The sequence below is a fragment of the Homo sapiens genome, chromosome 8, assembly GCF_000001405.40.
Source record: "Homo sapiens chromosome 8, GRCh38.p14 Primary Assembly".
In the NCBI taxonomy this organism is placed as follows: domain Eukaryota; kingdom Metazoa; phylum Chordata; class Mammalia; order Primates; family Hominidae; genus Homo; species Homo sapiens.
In genome coordinates, this window is record NC_000008.11 from 90,909,271 (window position 1) to 90,932,247 (window position 22,977).

At 37.1% G+C, this 22,977-nt stretch overlaps 1 protein-coding gene and 1 long non-coding RNA gene across 8 annotated transcripts in view; one reads left to right on the top strand and one right to left on the bottom strand.

Moving 5' to 3' along the window:
• Positions 1-22,977, top strand: part of NECAB1 (N-terminal EF-hand calcium binding protein 1) — a 167,619-nt gene that overhangs the window by 117,496 nt on the left and 27,146 nt on the right. For both annotated transcript variants that reach the window (NM_022351.5, XM_011517213.3), the window contains exons 6-8: positions 8,222-8,358; positions 16,265-16,386; positions 18,953-19,029. In NM_022351.5, the coding sequence (NP_071746.1) occupies positions 8,222-8,358; positions 16,265-16,386; positions 18,953-19,029 (336 nt within the window). The remainder of the gene's footprint in view (positions 1-8,221; positions 8,359-16,264; positions 16,387-18,952; positions 19,030-22,977) is intronic.
• Positions 1-22,977, bottom strand: part of LOC105375634 (uncharacterized) — a 109,088-nt gene that overhangs the window by 64,372 nt on the left and 21,739 nt on the right. The window contains exon 2 of one of the 6 annotated variants that reach the window (XR_928394.3): positions 20,264-20,352. The exons of 4 other annotated variants lie outside the window; for them this stretch is intronic. This is a non-coding gene — a long non-coding RNA (uncharacterized LOC105375634). Of the gene's footprint in view, positions 1-20,263; positions 21,701-22,977 lie in introns of those variants that run through there. One more of the 6 variants, XR_928392.4, reaches the window with a different exon arrangement.

The following is a 22,977-nucleotide window of genomic DNA, read 5'->3' on the forward strand; positions in this document are numbered from 1 at the left end:
ATATGGTCTATGAACATAGTCCAACTAATTCAGTTATATCTATGGCTGCTTTCATGTGATCTCTTGTTCACAAAATCTAAAATATTTACTGTCTAGGCCTCTACGAAAAAAAAAAAAATGTTGCCTGGATCTGGTCTAGATCACCAGTATTTATGTTGAAGTCTCCCTGGTTGTTTTGGTTGTCTGCAGCTCATTTTCTAAGATTCCTGAGGAAGGGCTCACAAGAACAATATTACCTGAGTTTTAGCATGTTCACAATTTTCGGGGACCGTTTATACTTAAAAGACAATTTTTCCTGATACAAAATTCTTGGCTCTATTTTAAATATCTTAAAATATGTTACTACGTTTTTTTCTGGAATAAAAGTGTTGGTTTTGGAAAACCTTGTGGTAATCTAGATTTTATTTTGTTTTGTTTTTTACTCCATAAGTCATTTGCTCTATATGTCTCCATGCATGAAGAATTCTTGCTTTGTCAGTCCAGCAATTTTATGAAAATATGTCTTGATGTGTTTGTTCTGAGTCGATATTCTCATACATATGGCATACTTTCAGTGTTTAATATCAAATCATTTTATTTTAGGAAAACATTCTTGAATAATAGTTTCTAGTGTTATTTTCCTTTGTTAGTTTCTATCCTTCCTTAGAAATTCTATTATCAGTATATTGTATATTCTTTGTATATTCAACATTTGTCACTTCCTCTCAAATCCCTTTTATTTGTTTTCTTTGTTATTTTTGATTTTAAAAGCTTTCTTTCCTTTCATTTTCTCTTATTAAGGTATTACATGTAATGTTTATTTGTTTTTATGTTCCTTCTAATTTTGACTTAATTTCGGAAATAATACTTTTCTTCCATTACTAATTCTTTTCTGAATCCTATCACTTCATTTCTGAGTTAATCTAACTCTGATTTATGTTTTTGTTCATTTCTTGAAATCTTTTTCTTAATATCTTCTAGCTTATTTTTAAATACTTGGTTGCACTTGGGTCTGTTTTGTCATCTTGTCTTTCTGGTATGCTTTCATTGTCTGCAGGGATGTTATTGTGCTTCTTATTTTTCTTTTTCTTATTATAACCTTGCATAGGATTTGACCTTAATAATTTTTTGCTGCTTTTAAGAATTCAGTTTTCCTGAATTTTTTCAAAGGAAGTTGTGTTCAAAATTGTTTTTCTAACTTCACAGGGCTTCCTCTTAAGTGGTTTGTCTTATAGTACTGAAAAAATAAGGCAGCTTTTCTTCCAAGGCTTTCTGGCTCTGTTTCTCTCCCCAACTTTTTATCTGAATCTCCCTTTTTATTTCTTGTCTCTGTGACCATCCCTCTCAATTTTGAGTCCACTCCTAGCTAATTCCTCAGTGTAGGTCCCTCCTGACATAGCCCTTGGAGTGACCGATTTTAAGAGTTCACAGGGGCTACACAGTTCCAATCCCTTTAGGACTTACTAAGATTTTTGTGCTCTCTCATTTTTGTACTCAACCACTTTTGGATAAAATGACTGCCAGTTTCAGTTGCTATTCTCAAATTAGCCATTGTTATTCTAGTGAACATTTGTTGGCTACTTTGGAGTTCTCTTGCTCTCAGGTTTGTCTCATAACCCATTGTGTTCCTTTGTTTCTGCCTACACATCCAGCAACACCATGCAATGCATCTCTTGTGGCTGTCAGTGATTTTGTCCTTACCCACCTGCAATTGTAGGTTGATGATGACACCTTGTCATCTAGTTTTGTTGCATTCATTGTCTATTGGAGCTTTTTGTTGTTGCTGTTTTCTAGTTGTTTGCTCTGTTTTTATGTGAAGATTCCAAGGGTTTTATAAACTATGCCACCAACATGGCCATCTTCCCCAAATCCTCCTGTTACTATTTTGTGGTTTCTACACAACTGTGATACAGAACAAGAACTGGGCCTAGATGAGTAAAACCAGACTCATACAAATTTGAGGAGAAAGGAAGAAATCTTAGCCAATATACATATAAAGATATAGGAGAGAAAGGAAGAAAGAGGAGTAAAATCAAAGACTAAGAAAGAATTTTGGAAAGATTCTAGAAAACAAGATGTTCTATAGGAGGATATGGCTCATAGAATTCAGAGGAGAGAGAGGGGAATGCAAGAAGTACTGTTTATAAATTGTATCTGATTGTATATATTATAAATTGTGTCTAATTTACTATATCTAATTTACTAATTTACTATACTTGAGGCGAATCAAGTCAAGAATGGAAAAATTTTTGATAAATTTTGCACTTGAACTCTACATATTAAACTTGACACTCCTCAAACACCAAATTCCATGGATCACAGCTTCAATCTGGTAACAAGTATGTATATAAAAGGTGTACATTTTTGAATAAGCAAGGTAGCAGATATGCAGTAGAAAATATGTGTCAAAAATAACTCAGGAAAATTAATATTTGTGAAGAGCCTGCTATGTGCCAAACACTAGCTACATATTTGTCCTAGCAATAATTCTGAGGTGAAGTATTATCACAGCAAACAAACCCAGGTCTTGTGAAGTTTGAGCCAATGATCTGTCCATTACACTTTATAATATCCTTTCTCCAATGGGTTAATAGCAATAATGAGCATTTATCAAAAATTATGAGCTAGATACCCTACTGTGTGTGCCACATGCTGTATTTAATTTTAATACTTGCAACAAACTTATGATAACTATTCTTATCCATAGTTAAGGAAATAGGGATTTTAAAAGGTTGAATACTTTCCAAAGTTCACACAGCTGTCAAGTGGCATAAACACAGAACGTAAGTGTGACTGTCTTCAGAGCCAGCTTCTTAACCACTACATTATGTTATTAGACACCTATGAATGTGACCTGGGTCCTCATCTAGTAGTTAATCTCAGATTTGGGCTGACTCTCTAGATGTCCCCATCCTCATACCCATGTGCATTTTTCTAAAATTCCTAATGTTTGAAGAGGATTACTTCCCAGCAGAATGGGATTGTCCTTTAGGCAAAGACATCCAAGTAGTCTTATGTTCTTGTTAGGGTCTCCTGATATGAGACAGAACAATAGGAGGAGCCAGAGGAAAGAATCCTACACAAAATAAGTTCTTGATGACTTTAAGATGAGCCCTTTAAAGTGGAGTTTGTCAACGTAAAGGTCTTAATATAATTCATCTCTAAAGTATCAACTTATTTCAAACTACAGAATATCTGGTTAAGATAGGGCTCAGAATTTATTTCAATTTATTAATTGTTTAATAATATTTAATCCAAAATTATAATTTTGTCTCCTCGTTCACTAATCTGAGAATCTATCATTTCCTTAATCCTTGGGAATCTGTAGTCTGAAATTATTTTGATATCTTGTTTTGCCATCTAAGGTTTGCAAAGACTAGCTGGAATTAACCTCTGTCCATTATTAGGACAAGTAAGAGCCAGTTCTTTATTTTTGTATTTTTATAAGGCTTAAATTTGATATAGTGGTCTCCCAGTTTGGAAAAAAAAAATGTGCCATTTAAAATAAAAGCCTGAGAATATTTAAAAGAAGTGGGACATAGATAATGTGTGTAGCCCACTTAGTATTTTAAAAAGTAATAATTGTGGATAGAGTAGAAAAGAGCAAAAGACAACCTTATCTTTGTAAAGTTATTTTTTTTTCTGTTATAGAAGCTGCTGCAGATGTCTTACACAAGAATGGCGAGAGCTGCAGGGAGTTAATCCAAAAGACAGTCAGAAGCAGTGCCCCTTGCTAAATGTGATTGTTATCTGACCTCATAAACAAGAATACACTAACCCTAGATGTCACTGACTTGATTGATTTTCAAACAGGGAAGACTGATGCTCTAATTTTCCTAATTAACTCAGATGATTCTATCAACCTGATGGGCAGAGCTTGCTTACTGAGAAATGATGTGAAAATTAAGATGCACAGACAGTTTTCTAAGAAACCTGATTCAAAGCACTATGCTTCCAATGCTAGGATTTTTACTCAAATGAATTCTAGCCCTGTTCCAGCTCCACCAAAGGAAATGTGTAGATTGAAATGTTTACATTTTGGCTTTCCGCAGACAAAAATGGAGGTATTAATACTACTTTGTTGACAATTTCCACTTAATGATTTGTGTAACTAATAATTATCATGACACGAATGAACATTATTAGGATCTGAGAAGTATAACGTTAACTTTTACTTTCCCATATTCTTTCTGATAGACATGGAGGATTAAACTGCGTTTGAAAAAAAAAAGAAGCAAAATCTGAATAATGAGTATAATCTGTACATTTTTAAACTACTTTATTTTGTCTGTAGGAGTTCTTTCTGCCAGTCTCTCAAATACAGGTTTTGCTCAAAGGAATGCATGCCTTATGCCAACATACCAGTCTTTTGGGGAATTAGGAATGCAAAAAATCTCTTTTTGTACCTTCGCTACCAACACATTTGCTGAGAATTAAAAGGGCCAGGATTTGACATTTTCCAGCTTGTTATCTATTTAATTTTCCATCTGCTTCTTTTGCCACTGCCTTCCAAAGGAACATCTGCTGCATATCTGAGAAAAGGGAAGGAAGATTGGATCTGTGCCACCCGGGTCTGCAGTCTCAAACCTTGAGATCCAGAATAAGGGAAGGGAAGGAGACTAACAAATGGTCCAGAAAATAAAATGAGGACAAACAGTCTGTTAGAACAAAGCTGTATTTTTCTTTATTGCAGAGCCCACATGACTGGGCAAGTCGGGTGGTAATGTCTACAACCAGCAAGGGCTGGATGCAGGGGGAGGCAGGTGGTGACCAGCCAGTGGCAAGAGTACTTCCCAGAGCTTGGACACTCCCTCTGGTGCCTGACTCTCCATGTGGGACCCGGTTTCTCACACATTTCTTAAGCATTTATGGGGCAGCTGCTATGAGGCAATTTTGTTCTGAGTACTCTGGAGGCAGAGATGAATAAGACATAATCCCTGTGCTTAAAGAGCTAGCCTAAAATGGGGAAGATAGACAAATGAACAACAGATCACAACATCACAATGAAAAATTCTACATCCTATGAAAAATTCTATATCCTAGGTAGGGAAGAAATGTCACAAAAATACATAGAAGTGGAAAGATGTATTCCTAATCCTATGAAGAGAAGTGGTGGTTCAAGGAAAGGAACATCTGTACAGAGACAGTGTTACAAGCTGAGTCTGGAAGGATAAGTAGGAATATTAGAAAACAAGGTTTTTTTCCTCCTTATCAATGAGGGGTAGTATAAAACAGCAAACCTTCATAATTGACTCAAAAAATTTAATCCTCCAAACCTTAAACCCACCCACCACCCCTCTCAATTTCAAGGCATCAACATTTATATCAAAGAAATGTATCAACCAACTGGGTTCTGCCACTTTTCAATGTTACCTACAGAGTCACTAGTAAGGTTATCAAACTCTCATCAGAGTGAGATAAGAGGGTTAGCCTAATCATAACTTTCTGATTTGCTATGGTGGAGCAATGATGAGTGGCCAGTTGTCTGACTTTAACTTTTCTTAATTATCTAACTTTAACATCATCAAAATATTTGTATGTAAGATCACAATAGCAAATGCAATAAATTCTTAGAGTTAGGAGTGTATCTGCAAACTATCAGGTATGAATGAACCTCTACTCCACCATAAGGGATACAGAAATAAAAGACATGACCTTTCTGTCAAAGAAGCTGAAACCTAATTGCAATGACTGGAATGTTTAAAATGACTAACTATAATTTTTTAATCTCTTTTCTATAATTCTGACATGGCAAATATTTAACATTTAAATGAGAAAAGAGTAAGGACAATGCTATGCTTTATTGCTCAGTAAATGTTTGCTTTCTTCATTTTTCAATGCAGTCTACAAATAAGTATAAAACTTTTTATCATTTGCTTTATATTAGTCATAGTATATACTGAGATGCGAAAATAGTTGGTATAATCCCTGACTTTGCAATTATATTTTATCTTCATTTTAATAAATTTTATTTTTTAAAATATCCATTGGTGATATGGAAATAACTGTGGGAAAAGACTCAAACACACCTTTTTTTCTATCATCACATTTTCTTTCAACCTCAAAGAAAAGCCTTCCTCAATTTTAAAAACTCATTCAGAGAGAATTTTTTGAAGTTTTTTTTTAACCAATAAATAGCAAGCTATGAGATCAAATTAAATATTTGGAATATTTTTAGCTTGATTTAACTCACCCAAAACTCTTAAGATTATTATAAGCATGTAATGGTTATGTTTAGTTTACGGTTAGTTTCTTAAATGGAGTTTAAAGACATTGCAATTTTTAATTTTTAAATAGGACTATTATATATGGTAGATGTATTGGTCAGGGTTCTCTAGAGGGACAGAAATAATAGGATAGATGTTTATATGAAGGGAGTTTATTAAGGATAATTGATTCACACCACATGATCACACAGTAAAGTCCCACATAGGCCCTCTGCAAGTTGAGGAGCAAGGAAGCCAGTGGTGGATCAGTCTGAGTCCCAAAACCTCAGAAGTAGGGAAGCCAACAGTCCAGCCTTCAGTCTGTGGCCAAAGGCCTGACAGCCCCTGGCAAACTACTGGTGTAAGTCCAAGAGTCCAAAAGCCAAAGAACTTGGAGTCTGATATTTGAGGGCAGAAAGCATCCAGCACAGAAGAAAGATGAAGGCCAGAAGACTCAGCAAGTCTGCTCTTCCATCTTCTCCTGCCTGCTTTATTCTAGCCATTCTGGCAGCTGTAGTAGTTGGTACCCACCCAGATTGAGGGTGGGTCTGCCCCTCCTAGTCCACTGACTCAAATGTTAATCTCCTTTGGCAACACCCTCACAGACACACCCAAGGACGATACTTTGCATCCTTCAATCCAATCAAGTTTACACTCAATATTAACCATCTCAGTAGATAAGAAAATTTCCTGTGTTGTTCACCTGTAATGAATGAGCTTAAAAAGAGGCTGATGATTGAAACTTTTTACTATTTCAAATTGAGAAAGAAATGAGATTTTCTATGCTATTACATTATTCTTCTATTAGAAAAACTTCCAAAGTAAACTATATCAGGAGGCCATAGTCCAATTCTTCCTAAATTAAAGTTGATAGAAGCACAGAATATTTTTGAGTTGGAATGTATGCCAGAGTTACTTAGTGATTTATAAGTGGGAAAACTGAGAACCAGGAAGGTTAGATACCTAAATCTTACTTGTTTGGGTTTATAACTATGCCCTAAGCTTCTTCAGCATATCAGGATCCGTGGTATTGTGTTATCACCCTCAGTCGTTTTGTGTTTTGTCTTTTCAGCCATAAAAAAATTTTGTTTAGGGACAGAGACAAATAAATCTTTTCCTTGGCTGAACTTGAATGTACCATTTCCACTCAAGATTCTAGAAAATCAGATTTCACTGGCTGGTCCCATGATCTGAAAGAGTGGCCCTGTCACCATCTTATTCCACACCAACCTGGTTTTTGTTGTTGGTTCTCCCTGAGACTTTAGGGAGACAAGCACAGCAGGTGGTACCATCCACAGCTCACCCATCTACCTTGAGTAAGCTTGGCAAGTACACTTATTCAGTCTGCAGTGACCTCTGCAGTGACCCTGGGGCTGTTTCAGTGAATGCTGCTTTTGTGGCTCAGGTGTTGTCCTAGAAGTTAATTGTCAATGAGCCTCAGGTAAAGTTACTGAAGGAAAGACATAAGCAGATTTAGTAAACCATTTAAATACTCCAATCCTAACATTTTCTGAATTTTAAATAACTACACATAATTTTCTTTGTCTTCAGCATAATACGGATCAAGCATAATAAATACATCAAGAGTGAATTAAGCCAATTGCTGAAACATGGTTGCATTTTGTTGGTAATAGTGAAAATATATGATGGCGTGGTCAACATTCAAATGAGACATAGAACAAACCCTGAGTTAGTCACATTCTGATCTTCCCCCTCCGCCACCGGATATTTATTTTTTCTTTTCTACAGATGTCTATTTTGCAACTCTGCTGGTTTTGTCCTTTTTCTTAATCTTGAGGCAGGTATATTGGGAGGCAAGATATTCCAGTCATTTCTGCAGCTTTTTTATTCATCTCCTGGTGGGTGGATGAGAGTGATGCTGTAGCCTCCAGGGCTCGACAGATCTTTTCCCTTCTCTCCACCCTCTCTCTCTAGGATCAATCTGGGATTGATGGGTACATGGTAAAAGAAAAAAAAAAAATCCTGGGTATTTTTTTCTACCATACTTCTAATTGCATTTGTTTTGTCACCCTTAGGACTACCAAGAAGCCTCCAATTTGGAACAATTCGTAACTAGATTTTTATTGAAGGAAACCCTGAATCAGCTGCAGTCTCTCCAGAATTCCCTGGAATGTGCCATGGAAACTACTGAGGAGCAAACCCGTCAAGAAAGGCAATTTACATGTTTTCATCTGATGTCTATTTAGTGACTCTATGTTCATGAAAAAACAATTGAGAGGCATTGTACTTACACTAGCAAAAACTAAAAAAGAGAATTGATATATTTAAAAAGAATGACAGTGACCTCCACTGGTTGCTTGCCTTATTATTTGCCTCTAAAAAGACCATTCTACTTTTTCTTTTACTGTCAGTCATTTAGTAAACTATATATATATATATATATATATATATATATGTGTGTGTGTGCGTGTATATATATGTCTGTGTGTATATATATACACACACACACATATATGTGTATGTGTGTATATATATACACACACACATATGTGTGTGTGTGTATATATATACATATATGTGTGTGTGTATATATATATATTTCTTTTTTTTTGAGATGGAGTCTCACTTTGTCACCCAGGCTTGAGTGCAGTGGCACGATCTTGGCTCACTGCAAACTCTGCCTCCCGGGTTCAAGCAATTCTTGTGCCTCAGCCTCCCAAATAGGTGGGATTACAGGCACACACCACCACGTCCAGCTAATTTATTGTATTTTTTAGAAGAGACGGGGTTTCACTATGTTGATCAGGCTGGTCTTGAACTCCTAACCTCAGATGATCCACCCATCTTGGCCTCCCAAAGTGCTGGGATTACAGGTGTAAGCCACTGAGCCCAGCTGAGTCAACAAATTTTAATTGAAAATTTAGTAGATGGAGAAGACTTTAAAGTATTATGAATAATATAAAGATACATTTAACATAATGTCAATCCTTAAGGAAGCCTAAGTCTATCATATAAATAAGACATGAACACAAAAACTATACTGCAAAGAACAAAGTGATAATAAATACCGTAGAGAAGAGGAAATACATTGCCAATTGTTTTCAGAATATTAAAAGATTAAATATGGATAGAGGGATGGAAGGATGAGAAAGTCAATTTCATGGAGTTTCTCTATTTGAGCTTGTCTTGCAAAATCAAGAGATCAGTGAAAAAGCCTGGTGGGAAGACAAGACTTGAACTGGACCTGTAGGATGAATTTGAATGGCAGAATGAGAGTCTCTCTAGAGGGATCCGTCTCACCCACCTCCTGTTACCCACCTCTCATGTGGCTCACTTCTCTTTGGTTGTCTGGTCACTGATTGGACAGTAATTTCTCTGGGAAGCCTTCACTGCTCATTCATACCTCCCACTTCACTACCGTGTATTCCTATAGTGCCCCCTATTTATATCTACTTATCTCAACCCCTTCCTTGTTAATTTGGTGTAATTTTGAAAATGTGGAAATGATGGGAAAGACCCTTACAGACTACATGAACCTGGATATACTTGGGAGACCTGATAATTCAGTAAGCCTAATTATTTCAGGAAATGGAGAAAAGTGAATGATGGAAATTATTTCAAAATTCAATGCCACCAATAGGTATCACTGAGAAAATAAGTAGTCATATTGCAATAGCTATATAAATAAAGGCACTAATGCTTAAGAGACACCTATACTAAAAATGTGTAGGGCACACATCAAGGTGATCCCAGCCAACAGTTGATATTTTTCTGAGTTGTCATTGCTTATACTTTGCAAGCTAGAGAAGCTTGCAAAACTCTTGCTCCTGGGGCATATTTTGGCAGATGTGTTACTTTAAACTTATAGATGTGCTTTATCTAACTTTTACATCTTAAATTAGAGAGAAGGAAACAGTAAGTTTTCTGAACAGGCTGATAATAGACTACCCTGCAGGACCAATTTTCCTGAACAAATTAACTGATACATAATTATTAGGACATCTCCAAAATAGTGGAATTTTCAACCATGTGTTTACAATGTCAAAATGAGTGAGCACCACCAACTTCTAACAAAAAATCCTGTAATTCCAGAATCTAATGAGCCCATGCAGCTGACTGTCACAGGGAAGTACTCTTTAGCAGATCTGTGAAGCATCCTCTACATCATAAACTTCCTGTTTTCACTGCGTTGGGTGATTCTATACCAAATGGCAAAGTATAACAATTCACTTTAGAAAAGCAAAACCCACCTCCTCAGCTTTGAGCAGAGGATAACTGAATGTCTTGAAGCACAGTGAAATGGATTTCATGTTCCTAATGAGAAAAATGAGGCCTCCTGTGTTGTTTCTTTTGTTTGGACTTTCTGGAAATAAAATGGGAACTCCCTTTTTAGAATCAGTCATCTGCCACCTGAGAAGAGGCTTGAAAAAGTGCTCTACTCCCCTTCTTCACCTGCGCTTTTGTTTTTTTCTACAGTCATCCCCTGAAAACCTGTGCTCTGCATTTACCACCATGCTGTGAATGTTTAATGAACAACTGTTTTCTGTGTTAGGCCACAGGCTAGCCTTGAACTCTTGTGACTGCTGCCAGCAGCTGCCTAGCAGCTGTGCTTAATGAGAAGGAGCATGACAATATAGACTTTAAGGAAAGTAGAAGGCACTAGAGGATTAACGAACCTTTTACTTCTGGATTTCTCACTCAAAAACAGCTTCAAATAATGGGAAATGTTACATGTCTGACTGCAGTTTAAGGGGTGCTGTTGTATGGCATTTGACTAAGACACCCAGGAATGACAAAATCCCACCCCAAATCTGTGATATTCCCCCTGAGAGGTTTATAAAGAAATGCATAAACAAGCAAACAGAAAATAAGGTACCACTATGGATTTATGCCCGTAATATCTGATGAACCAGACTGAAGCACGTGAATTATGCCCAAACCTAAAGGGACTGTGTCTCCTCTCCCAAGGCTATATCTTCCTATCAGCTGGCCACCAAAAGTGAGGAGAGCCCTGGGACCTTCATCAGTGAGGAAAAGATAGAGAGAGAAAAACTATACCTTTCCTATGATGTCAATCAAGAGACCAGTGAAAACGCCTGATGGGAAGACAAGACTTGAAGTGGAACTTTAGGATGAATTTTAATGGCAGAATGAGATTCTCTCTAGAGGGATCCGTCTCACCCATCTCATGTTACCCATCTCTCATCTGGCTCACTTCTCCTCGTCTGTCTTGTCACTGATTGGACAGTACTTTCTCTGGGAAGCCTTCACTGCTCATTTATACTTCCCACCTCATTACCATGTATTCCCATAGTGCCCTCTATTTATATCTACTTATCTCAGCCCCTTCCTTGTTTATCTCCCCCATTAGACATTGAGTTTTTAGATGGCAGAGACTTTGCATAAGTCCCCTCTACTTACTACAACTGCATGGTAAACATATGAAAGTGAATGAATGAAAGGAATTCTAGGTGAAAGGAGTGCTACACAGGAGCAGTTGGTGAGGACCCAGAACACTGAGGAGACCAATCTAACAGTCATCTGGGGTTCAGAAAGATCTTAAAAGCTAGAAAGATGCAAACAAAAATTCACCAGTTTTTTGTTTGTTTGTTTGTTTTGAGACAAAGTCTCACTCTGTAGCCCAGGATGGAGTGCAGTGATGCAATCTCAGCTCACTGCAACTTCCGCTTCCCGGGTTCAAGCAATTCTCCTGTCTTAGCCTCCCGAGTAACTGGGACTACAGTCATCTGCCACCATGCCCAGCTAATTTTTGTATTTTTAGTAGAGACAGGGTTTCACCATATTAGCCAGGCTGGACGCGAACTCCTGACCTCAGGTGATCTACCCACCTCAGCCTCCAACGTGTGGGATTACAGGCTTGAACCACCACTCCCAGCCAATTCATCAGTTTTTTTATGTTGTAAAGGAAGATTTTGTGATGCCCTTCACAGTCAAGAGTTGCAACCTGCAGGTCAGGCATGGTGGCTCACACCTGTGATTCCTGCACTTTGGGAGGCCAAGGCAGGTGGATCACCTGAGGTCAGGAGTTCGAGACCAGCCTGGCCAACATGATGAAATCCTGTCTCTACTCAAAATACAAAGAAATTAGCCCGGCATGGTGGTGGCAGATACCTGCAATCCCAGCTACTCTGGAGGCTGAAGCAGAAGAATCACTTGAACCCAGGAGGCGGAGGTTGCAGTAAGCAGAGATCGCGCCACTACACTCCATCCTGGGCAACAAAAGCGAAACTCCATCTCAAAAAAAAAACAAAAAAACAAGAGTTACAACCTGCAGGTATCATTAAAATCTCTAGGATTGTGATAATTTGCTTTCCCTTCAGCATCAACATTACTTTGGGATTTAATATTTGTGAAACCTAGGGATACAAAGACTCCTTGGAATATAGCAAATTTAGGGAAGTCATCTATTCCATCTATCAGCCCCGGGGAGAATCACACAGTATCATTCATCCTGCAGTAATGAGGTAGACATGCCATGTTGGGCAAAATGTCTGTGTCTATTCATGTAAAAATGGATATTTGAGAGAGAAAGGATGTGTACAGCTGGAATGCCACAGAGGTGGAATTTTCAGATGGCATGCTACAACACTCTTTGTATCTGCCCTGGCAAACTGACTAAATGTGAATTACATTAATTCCATGTGTTCAGAAAGTACGTAATAGCTAATGACAAGAATAATAAGTATGTTATATGGAAGTTTCCCCCTAGGGGTCCCCTATTCTCTTACATAAAACTCTCTTCCTCACAAACTAAATTTCTAGGAACACAGTTTTCATTATATGTGGATTTCCTTTTTATAATGGAATCCACAAGTTTGCTCTATTTCCCAAAGTTTTTCTATATCCAGGAACGTAATTAATTCCTTCTTGACTTGAAAGTTATTTTTCTCCTTTTGATAGTTGTCTATTATAGAAGTGAGGAAAAGCTTTAATTTCACAAACAGGTGGTTATAAAAGTTTAGACAGCTTAGATTTCCTTAGCTTGAACATAGAGGAGGATTGCTCTAATCACCTACTCCCCTGACCACCAAAGCTGCCAAAAACTTGGATTTTTTTTTTTTTTTTTTTTTTTTGAGATGGAGTCTCACTCTGTAGCCCACGATGGAGTGCAGGGGCACAATCTCTGCTCACTGCAACCTCCGCCTCCCGGGTTCAAGCAATTCTCCTGCGTCAGACTCCCAAGTAGCTGGGATTACAGGCGCCTGCCACCATGCCCAGCTAATTTTTGTGTTTTTAGTAGAGACGGGGTTTCACCATGTTGGCCAAGCTGGTTTTGAACTCCTGACCTCAGGTGATCCACCTGCCTGAGCCTCCCAAAGTGCTGGGATTATAGGCGTGAGCCACCACGCCTGGCCAAAAACTTGGATTTTTTTATACCATAGGAAAATTCATAGGGAGATTTAGTTAAAGATTGATGATTAAATGTATGATTTCTTTTGCTCTCTCTCTAAACCCTTCAAAACATGACATAAAAGTACCTGGATAAAAGGAGGCATTAACCTGCAAAAATAAGAATAGAAGAAGAGCCAAAGGGACAGAAACTTGGAAGGTGGAGAGAAGGTGAATCTAGTGGAAATTGATTTAGAAGCTCTGAGAAAGCTGAAACTGAAGCAGGCAATGTAAGAAGCCAAGATACAATATATTTGGTATCACAGAACCTCAGAAAAGCTCAAGACTTGGCTGTACCATGTGGAACTGAAAATGAGGGTGAAGGTAGGGCTGATATATTGTTGGAAGCTCCACCCAGTGCTATATAGTGACTGCTCCTACCCGATCCTTGAAGAACCCCAGACATAAGCTGTCTGGAGAAGGTGAGCATATGTATACCTGGCACAGCTGATAGGACACAATACTAACAAAGGAGATACTAACTGAAAGTCACCATACTGAAGAGTGAGATGTGAAATCTCCTTCATATATTTTACTCCCAGAGTACTAACAACAGGGCTCAGACTCCAGTTGGGGCGTGCTTCTTTGAGGGATCTGATTAATCCCAGAGAAAAGACTTAACAATGCCAATGGTCAAGGTTCCCTGAAGAATAGGCCCAGCCAGGCCACTGTACAGTGAAGACTGCAAGTTGGCAATCCCTGCCACAAACAAAGAGGTTCCAGTCAGACTTGTAGTTCCTCCTTCTAAAATGTATGGGGTCAACCAAAAGGACAAATCAAACACAAGAAAAGAAACTCGAAAGAAACAGATAATCCAGAGAGCAGACAAAAAATTTCAAAAGAAAGTTTTCAATACCTTCAAAAACTAAATAAAAGATATTGCATTTATGAATTAAGGATAGAATGCTTTAAAAATAATATTCAAAGCACACAAAAGAGGTCTTGGAAATTATGATTGCAAAAATTACATTCTCTGAGGAAGGTTGAAATATAAAAGTGTGAGGAAATCTCCACAAAGAGGTGAAATATAAGAGATAAGGAAACTAGAGGCTCAGTCCAAGAGGTCTACTGTTTGTAAAACAGCAATTCCAGAAAGAGAACAAAGCAGAAAAATTATCAAAGGAAGAATTTAAGAAAAATAGTCAGAATTGGAATATGTGTCCAGTTTGATAGAACAGATCAAGAGCTCATTATAATGCTAATAAAAGTCCAACACAAAATACATCATTATGAAGTTTCACAATACTGGAAACAAAGACAAGTGTCTAAAAACTCCCAGAGAGAAAAACCAGGCCATATGCAAATAATCAAGAAAACACTAGATTTTTCACTAGTGACTCTGGGATATAGAACACAATGGAGCAAATTTTTCAAAACAATTGGCAATCTAGAAATCTGTATGCCATAAAACCATCAATAAAGTAAGGAAGATGTTTATTCATGCAATGTTTCAAGAATTTTACCTTTCATTATGCACCTTTTCTTATGAAGCAATTAGGGGATATTTTCCACCAAAACAAAGGAGTCAGGTAAGAAAAAAAATGAAATCTAGTAAAAGGGGGATCAGAGGTCATCCAACACAGGAGAAAGGCTAAAGGAATCTTCCCTAGCTGATAGATAATGAAAATTTTTGGATGAGTACATTAATCTTAGATTTGTCTTAAACACAGAAGGATTATATCTTACACACAAGGGATTATATCTCCTATAAAGAAATCTTGTTGGAGGCAGCTTAAGTATTATGTCCTTACAGATTTATCATAGACACTCTTTCTTTTTCACATATTAAGTGCATATTAATATAATAAACTATTGCCAAGTTTGCCTCATAGACCAAGATGTTTGTTGGCGATCCAGCTACCATGTTCACATTCCAACCAGGAAAGAAGATTAAGGAAAGACAAAAGGGATCCCTTCTAGCTGAATCTGTACTTTTAAGCAGCCTTCCTGGAAATTCCTTACAACATTTCCATTTGTATATCATTGGCCTGAGCTTTTCATATTGTGAAGTTAATAGATAAAGCCTAAAACTAAAAATTAAAGACATAGCAATTTAAGCATGTTATATACTGATAATTTAGAAGGTGTTTACTTTCATATCAGTATATAACATATACTGTATATAGTATATAAGATATACTGTATATAATATATATTTTAACATATGCTACTTTCATATCATAACATATACTCATATGAAAGTAAACACCTGCTAAAAAGTGTTGCCTTTTTGAAAGAGGAGTGGGAATATGATATGGGGGTGAAACGAGGGAGCTCCTGTTTGTTGAAATAAGATTTATAGAATCATTTGACTCCTAAAAATATATGGATGTATAGCTTTGATCCAAAAAATTAAAAACTGAATTACAGAAAAAACTCCATAAGTGTTTTCAAATTAAACAAAATACAATAGCTGCATACACGTTTTTCCACTGAAAGTTGACCAACAAAGGAAAAAAGCCTACCTTAAATTACAATTTTTACTCAGAATTTTAAGAATAAAGAAAGCTCAGAATTCTCTTTCTTAGGTTCACATACTGTAGTACCAAATTACATTGGGTTTCTAGAGCATTTACAAGCAGTCATTCTCATAAGTTTTCATTTTGCTGCACTAGAAAACCTTTATGACTGACGCATGAAGATCTCTTCCCTGAAGGAAGAGACTGAAGCACTAACATTAAGGTTAAATGTTATCTCTGTTGATCAAGGCAAGGGCCAGCCAAGCCAGAAGTCCTGTCGATTCAATGGCCTGGAAAACGATCAAGCCGCCGAGTCCAGAGACACAACAGCTTCTCCCCAAACAGCCCTCAGTTTAATGTCAGCGGTCCAGGTAACATACCCTTCATTTGTTTTTATTTGTCAAAGTCTATTTATCTTGCGTTTTCCAATTGATTATTTTAACAAACAACAGATAAGACAATAGTAATGGAACACTTTCCTTATACCAAGTAAGTTTGAGACAGAAGCAGTGAAGAGTGTAGTATGAAGAACTGGGGTGGTGAGCCTAAAATCAGCATGGTCAGAATCCTAGCAGTTGTGCCTGGAAAGCACACAGAGAGATGGTGAATAGGGAAGGCAGTAGCTTCATCAGCTAACATCTAAAAGACTTGACGTCTATAAGGACCCCCCATGATCTTGAAATAAAGGGACTCTACCCTAATATGCTCTAGATCTCCAAGCCTCCCTAAGCCTATCCTAAGTTCATCTGGGGAAAGGATCCTTGTTTTCATAATAGGATTAGTCATAGCTGGTGTTTTTGAAGTTTGTAATGTGATATAAGATTTACTGGGCTAAACCATACCCATAATTGTTAGGTTATTAAATTTTAACTGTGTCACTTATAACCATTTTAAAATCAATTTGAAATATGCAAACTCATGTTGCTAAATATTGGAGTAATTTTTATAAAGCATGCATATATACATGCACATATGTCACTTGAACGTGTCATTTTAACACGAGTCTTTATCTAATATTCAGAAAATCAAGGTATAAGCTATATTCTATATTTTCACCAACTGTACTTGAAAGATTTCAGAGTATTTTTATGAATAAAGCCTTATTTTATCTTGACACCTGATAAAATAGATGTTAATTTCCCTATTTCTCCATTTCACAGGTAAGGAAACAAGCCTGGGAAGTTAAGTGATTTGTCCAAGGTCATATGGAATATTAGTCCATTTTTATTGTGAAGCGACCTTAAAATCTTGATGGTTACACCTGTAGATACTTGTTTTTCTCTCTCATGAGTCTATGGTTGGTGATTTGGGCAATTTCAGTTGGATGTGGTTCCAGGCTGTATGTAGGTTGAGTTTGGCCCCACTCCTCATGTAGCCTCCTTCTGGAATAAGCAACAGCTGGATCATTTTCTTCTCCTAGTGGGTGTCAGAAGCACATGCAGCCAGCCCAAAATTATACATGCATATTAAAAACCATTGTTTTATGTACTGTGTGCATCTTGTCTGGTACCTCTCCATTGGCCAAACAAATCACATGTCAAGCACAGTAACAATGGGGAGGGAAATGTGCTTCATTCATTATAATAGGAGATACTGCAAAGTTGTGGTGCAAGGGTATATACAGATACTTCTATAGCAGGAAGAAATTGAAGAATTGGGAAAAATAATATGATCTACCACATGGAACTAGAAAATGACAATGCTAAGCTCCTGAAGCAACATATAGATTGTTCTTTCCATTTTAACCATTTAGAAAATAGTCCAAAATATCTTTTCTTGGGTCTCTGATGTGACAGCCACCTTAAATTATTTTGGGAATAACCCAGATTAGAAATATTGTATTAGAATTTAAAAAAAACATAAATTTTATTAGTATATTTGTAATATTTTCTCCAATCAGCCCCTTTCTTTTCTCTCTCTTTTTTTTTTTTTTGTAGCCACTTCTTTGTGGCAGTGCCAGTGCTCATTTTTACATCATAATTTGGTGGGCCTTGAAAGGTGCTTCCTCCAAGAAGGCAGGTGGAGAAGGAAATTCTGATGACATCACTCTCCCTTTATAATTTAGGTCTTGTCTTTATTGCATTCAAAGCTAACACAAGGCTTTATAGTCTTGAATTCAATCACATTCTGATTTCAAGAAATATTAAACAATACTACTTCAGCAAATGCCTATGAAAACATTTTTATTAAGCTGCAATCAGTATATACAAATATGCCAGGATATTTGTGCACAGGCTCAGATCATAACTCTTCCCTTTGCATAACAATGTTAATAAAAACAATAATAGTAGCAGAACTTCTATAACGTTTAACTTGGTGCTAGATACACACACACACACACACACACACACACACACTACATACCTACAAATACATATGTATGTATATATTATATATATGAATATAGATCAACAGGCTCCAGTCTGCACTCTTAACCACTATGCCATGATTATAGAGTCCATGTATATATACTCAAGTTAGATCCTGGGAAAGGAGACACCAACTATCTTGCCCTTATGGTTTTTTTTTTTATCGTAGCAATTTACACCTTGCTATGGTCAGGGGTATGATTTCACTAGCTCTTGCCACTGACCTACAAGTAAGTTTAGAATTGTTGATTGATGCTTTCCTGTTTGCAAAAGAAAACCAACTACATCACGGGGTTTTGTAAATGGCTCAGCAGGATCTTTTCTTTGAATATCAAAGGCCAAATAGGCAATTACATTAAAAAACAGGCCTGTGGAAGTGAACCCCTGGGATGCATGGATCTATGGAAATCAATACCTTAGAAAGCACTCGTGAATACATTTTAAAAAAATGACCAGTCAGTGACACTGCATCTTTCCTTCAGGGTTGAAGGAAAGCTCTGATATAACCAAGCATTTCTTCTCTGTCTAAAGTTTAACATATTGCCCTCATGATTCCCCCTGGCCCCAGGCTTATTAGAAGAAGACAACCAGTGGATGACCCAGATAAATAGACTCCAGAAATTAATTGATAGACTGGAAAAGAAGGTAGGTGCTTTCTTTTCTTTATTCTCTCTTCCACTCTTCAAGATATTGTTACCTAATATTCCCCATTGCTTTATATCCATGACTGCCCCATAGATAGAATAACAGCCAGGATCCCAATGATTCTATGAATGGCTGCTTGGTAGTTATTTGAGGTTTTTGTTGTCATTGCTAAATACAGAAGCTTACATTAATTCTCCCCCTACCTCCCACTCCCAATTATATTTAAAATAGGATGTGGAGTTGAGAGTTAAATAAATCTACTGCACTGCCTGGCTCTTACATTTTCAAATGAACTAGGTGACAGTGTGCTTGAATGATGCTAATGACAGCTCTTAGGGATAATATGTTGAAGGGATAACATCCCTTTAACTTAGGGATAAGTTGAAGTCTTGGGAATCTTTCAAATTAATTCAGGAAAATGGCAGTGCTATCTACTAAAAGATGAGATTCCACACTCAACTTCTGGAAATTAGCACATTAACCGATGGTTTGCTATTAAAACTATCTAAGCAAGCAAGTTAGAATGTGATGAAGAGTTCTTTAGAACTACATTTTATGTTCTTAGTTATTGTTTTTTTATTAATTTAGTTAGTACCAAGTAGTCCTGTTATTGTAGTGATATTCTCCTTAAACATCTTTGATAGGAGAGACAACTTTTGTCAATCAGTAAGAAAAAAATGTGTTTTCTGCACATGTCAGGCACCAAGGGAGAAACATTTATGTTTGTGACAGCACTGACTTTGAAGAAAGCAATTGTCTACTTATAAAACTAAGCTATTCTCCTAAAAAGGCAGAGCAAGAGAGATAACAGACTTTTTAAAAATTATATGGTAGCACAGAATGGGATTCATAGTTCATGGTCAGTAAGTATTTGAATGACTGACCGAGACATGTTAAAGGAATGGATCAGATGTTAAAATCTATCCATGCTCACCTGATGGGTTGATCACTGTGACCTGGGGTGCTCAGGAAGGACTTTGTGTGGCAGGAAGAGTTCAAGTGGGGCCTTAAAAATGGTGACTTAATTAAAAATTTTATTGCAAACAATAGAAATCATTTCTCTAATAAAAAAGAGAGTTTTCTGGAAGAATATGGAAGTACTCACAGAATCAACAGATAGTCCAGAGGTCTGAATTTGGAAAAGTCAGAAGACAAGATAACCCTACAGATCTAAATAGCAAGAAATAGTCAACAGTCTCTGAAGTTACCTCCACTGCAATAAATGAGTTCCTACCATTTCCAGTCTGTTGGCCTTCTGTTCAAAATTCTGCTTCCCAGAAGGAAGAGTCTGGTTGGTCATGGTAGGGTTGCATTGCTGGCCTCCTGGATAGGGGAGGGGGAAAAGTCTTGATAACAATCCCAGAGCACAGTACAGAAAGAAGAAGAGATAATTCAATGAAAAGAAAATGTATTGTCATTAAAGTTGGAATAAATGCTGATAAGCTAACAAACTAACAAGGAAAGTAATATTTGCTATGGAGAAGTAAAATTTCAGTAGAGGATAGCTGGAAAGGGCATTCAGGTAAGGTGATGGCATGAGCAAGGTGATGGCATCTGCAAGGTTCAGTAGATTGGCCTGGTTAAGAGTCTTTCATGTAGGGAAGTAGTAACAAATAAGGTTGTATGGACCGAAGAGGGCCAGATTATGGATAGCCTCAAATAATAGTCTAAGGAATTTGGACTTGGAAACAACAGAAGGCATTTATTATTTTTTAACAGCTAAGTGACAAACCAAAAAAAATCCTTTAGATAGGAAATTGGGCAGCAAGATGCAAAGTGAATTAAAACAAATGCAAAATGGGTTAAAACAAGAAAAATGAGGCTCAGAGACACTAATACCAGCTCAGAAAATGGCATTGAAGAGGAGGTTTGTGAAACTGAACCCAGTGAAATCAGGTATGATATGAGATGGGCCTATATTAAGCTAATGAGTGAGAAGAAAATGGCAGATTTGAAACACTTGAAGTGCAATTAACAGCACTATTGAATGGGTTAAGAACAGGGGGAGCTCAAATAAGAATCTGAGGATTGGAGCCTGTGTTTCTGAAACAATTAATTGTACCATTAACAGAAAAGGAAGAGACACATGAGAGAGAATTTGTGAGGTAAGGTGAGAAGGTGAACTAGTGTTTTTGATGTATGAATTTCAAGGTACAATGGGACACTTAGGCAGAAATACCTAGTTAGATGTTAGAAGGAGAGAAGTCAGGCCAACAGGTTAAGGTATTTAGACATATTTCCACAAAGATGAACCCTCATGTCGTGAGGATGGGTAAGGTCTCTGAAAAGGAGATTCTGTGCAAGAGCCAAGTTAAGGGGAAACAACCCTATAGAGTTCTTGTCCCTCTGCCATGGTGCCTTTATTTGTTAAATTTATATTGAACACTTACTGGAGCAAATACTTAAACTACTAGCTTGCTGCAAATCAACTTTCCTCCTTTCTTATTTTATTGATATGTGAGCTGAAACTAAAAAGATTTGTAGGAAAAATAGTGGCTATGGAAATTAGTTTTCCAATATTGGAAGATCAAATCCAGGACCTCTATTTGCAAACTAAAGCTTGTTAAAACATAAGGATTCATTTGCTAAATAAGTCCAGATTCATTTAAAAATACAAATACCTCTTTTTAAAGTGGTTTTGAATTTTTGGACAAAACTGTCTTTATTTGGTATCTGAAATTTTTATAGTTATTTTTAAAGGAATGGCTCAAACTTATGCCTTTTTTTCTAACTTTAAATCAAAGTATGTGACATTTCTTTTTTTTCTAGACTTTTTTTCTCCCTCCCTTCCTATAAAAGGGTTTCATTTTGAGGACAGTGTATAAGAGGTTTGCTAAAAGTACAATGTGATGGTTTTCAGCATGGGGCTCCAGCTGTGTGGAGCTCAGTGTGAGCTGTCTTAATGAATGGAGAAGCAGTGCAAGTTCAGTTTTCTTCTACAACTTATTCTGTACTGTGCTGATTAGGTTTTTAGAGAAAAACTACCCAATTGCCAAACAGTGGCTGAGTACGTCATTTCACTGCTGAGTACCTTGTCTCCTGTAGTTGTTAACACTAGTTTTGATCTTCCCATTAGAAGGAAGTGTACCTGCAGTGGAACATATGTTATCTTTTCTCTGCATTAAGTATTTAAGATAAATTCTTCCTGCACTGAAACCAAGCCCTATTCTATGCATGTAGGGGAATATAACACTTAGCAATTTCTATAAATAGGTTTCTTTAGGTATTCCTTGTATCCATTTCAGCCTCCATGAGAATTTATGGGAATATACTGAGGTTATGTCTTGTGTTTTGCTTGATCCCTGTAGAAAACACCTTTAATGGCTGGGTGCAGTGGCTCACGCCTGTAATCCCGGCACTTTGGGAGGCTGAGGCAAGTGGATCACCTGAGGTCAGGAGTTCGAGACCAGCCTGGCCAACATGGCAAAACCCCATCTCTACTAAAAATACAAAAATTAACCAGGCGTGGTGGTGTGCGCCTGTAATCCCAGCTACTTGGGAGGCTGAGGCAGGAGAATCGCTTGAACCCCGGAGGGAGAGGTGGCAGTGAGCCGAGATCGTGCCACTTCACTCCAGCCTGAGCGAAAGAGTAAAACTCCATCTCAAAAAAATAAAATAAAATAAAATAAACAAAAATAAAAAACAAAAAAAAACCCCACCTTTAATGTTAAACAAAATAACAACAAGGACAACAATAAAAGCTCTTCATTCTTCATTAAGTCCTTAGTGTATCATCAGATCACAGGACATTCTCATTTGAAAGGATGTAATTCAGGATGTCACACTCATACAACTTATTTTAAGTTTTTCATACCTTAGATCAGGAAAGGTAGAACTGAAATTGTACCTTAGTTAGTGTCAGGGAAATAGTGGTCAAGGAGATTACTAGGCTACAGTTTCTATCTGTGGAGTACTTTTTAGTTTTCAATTCACATCTGTATACATTAC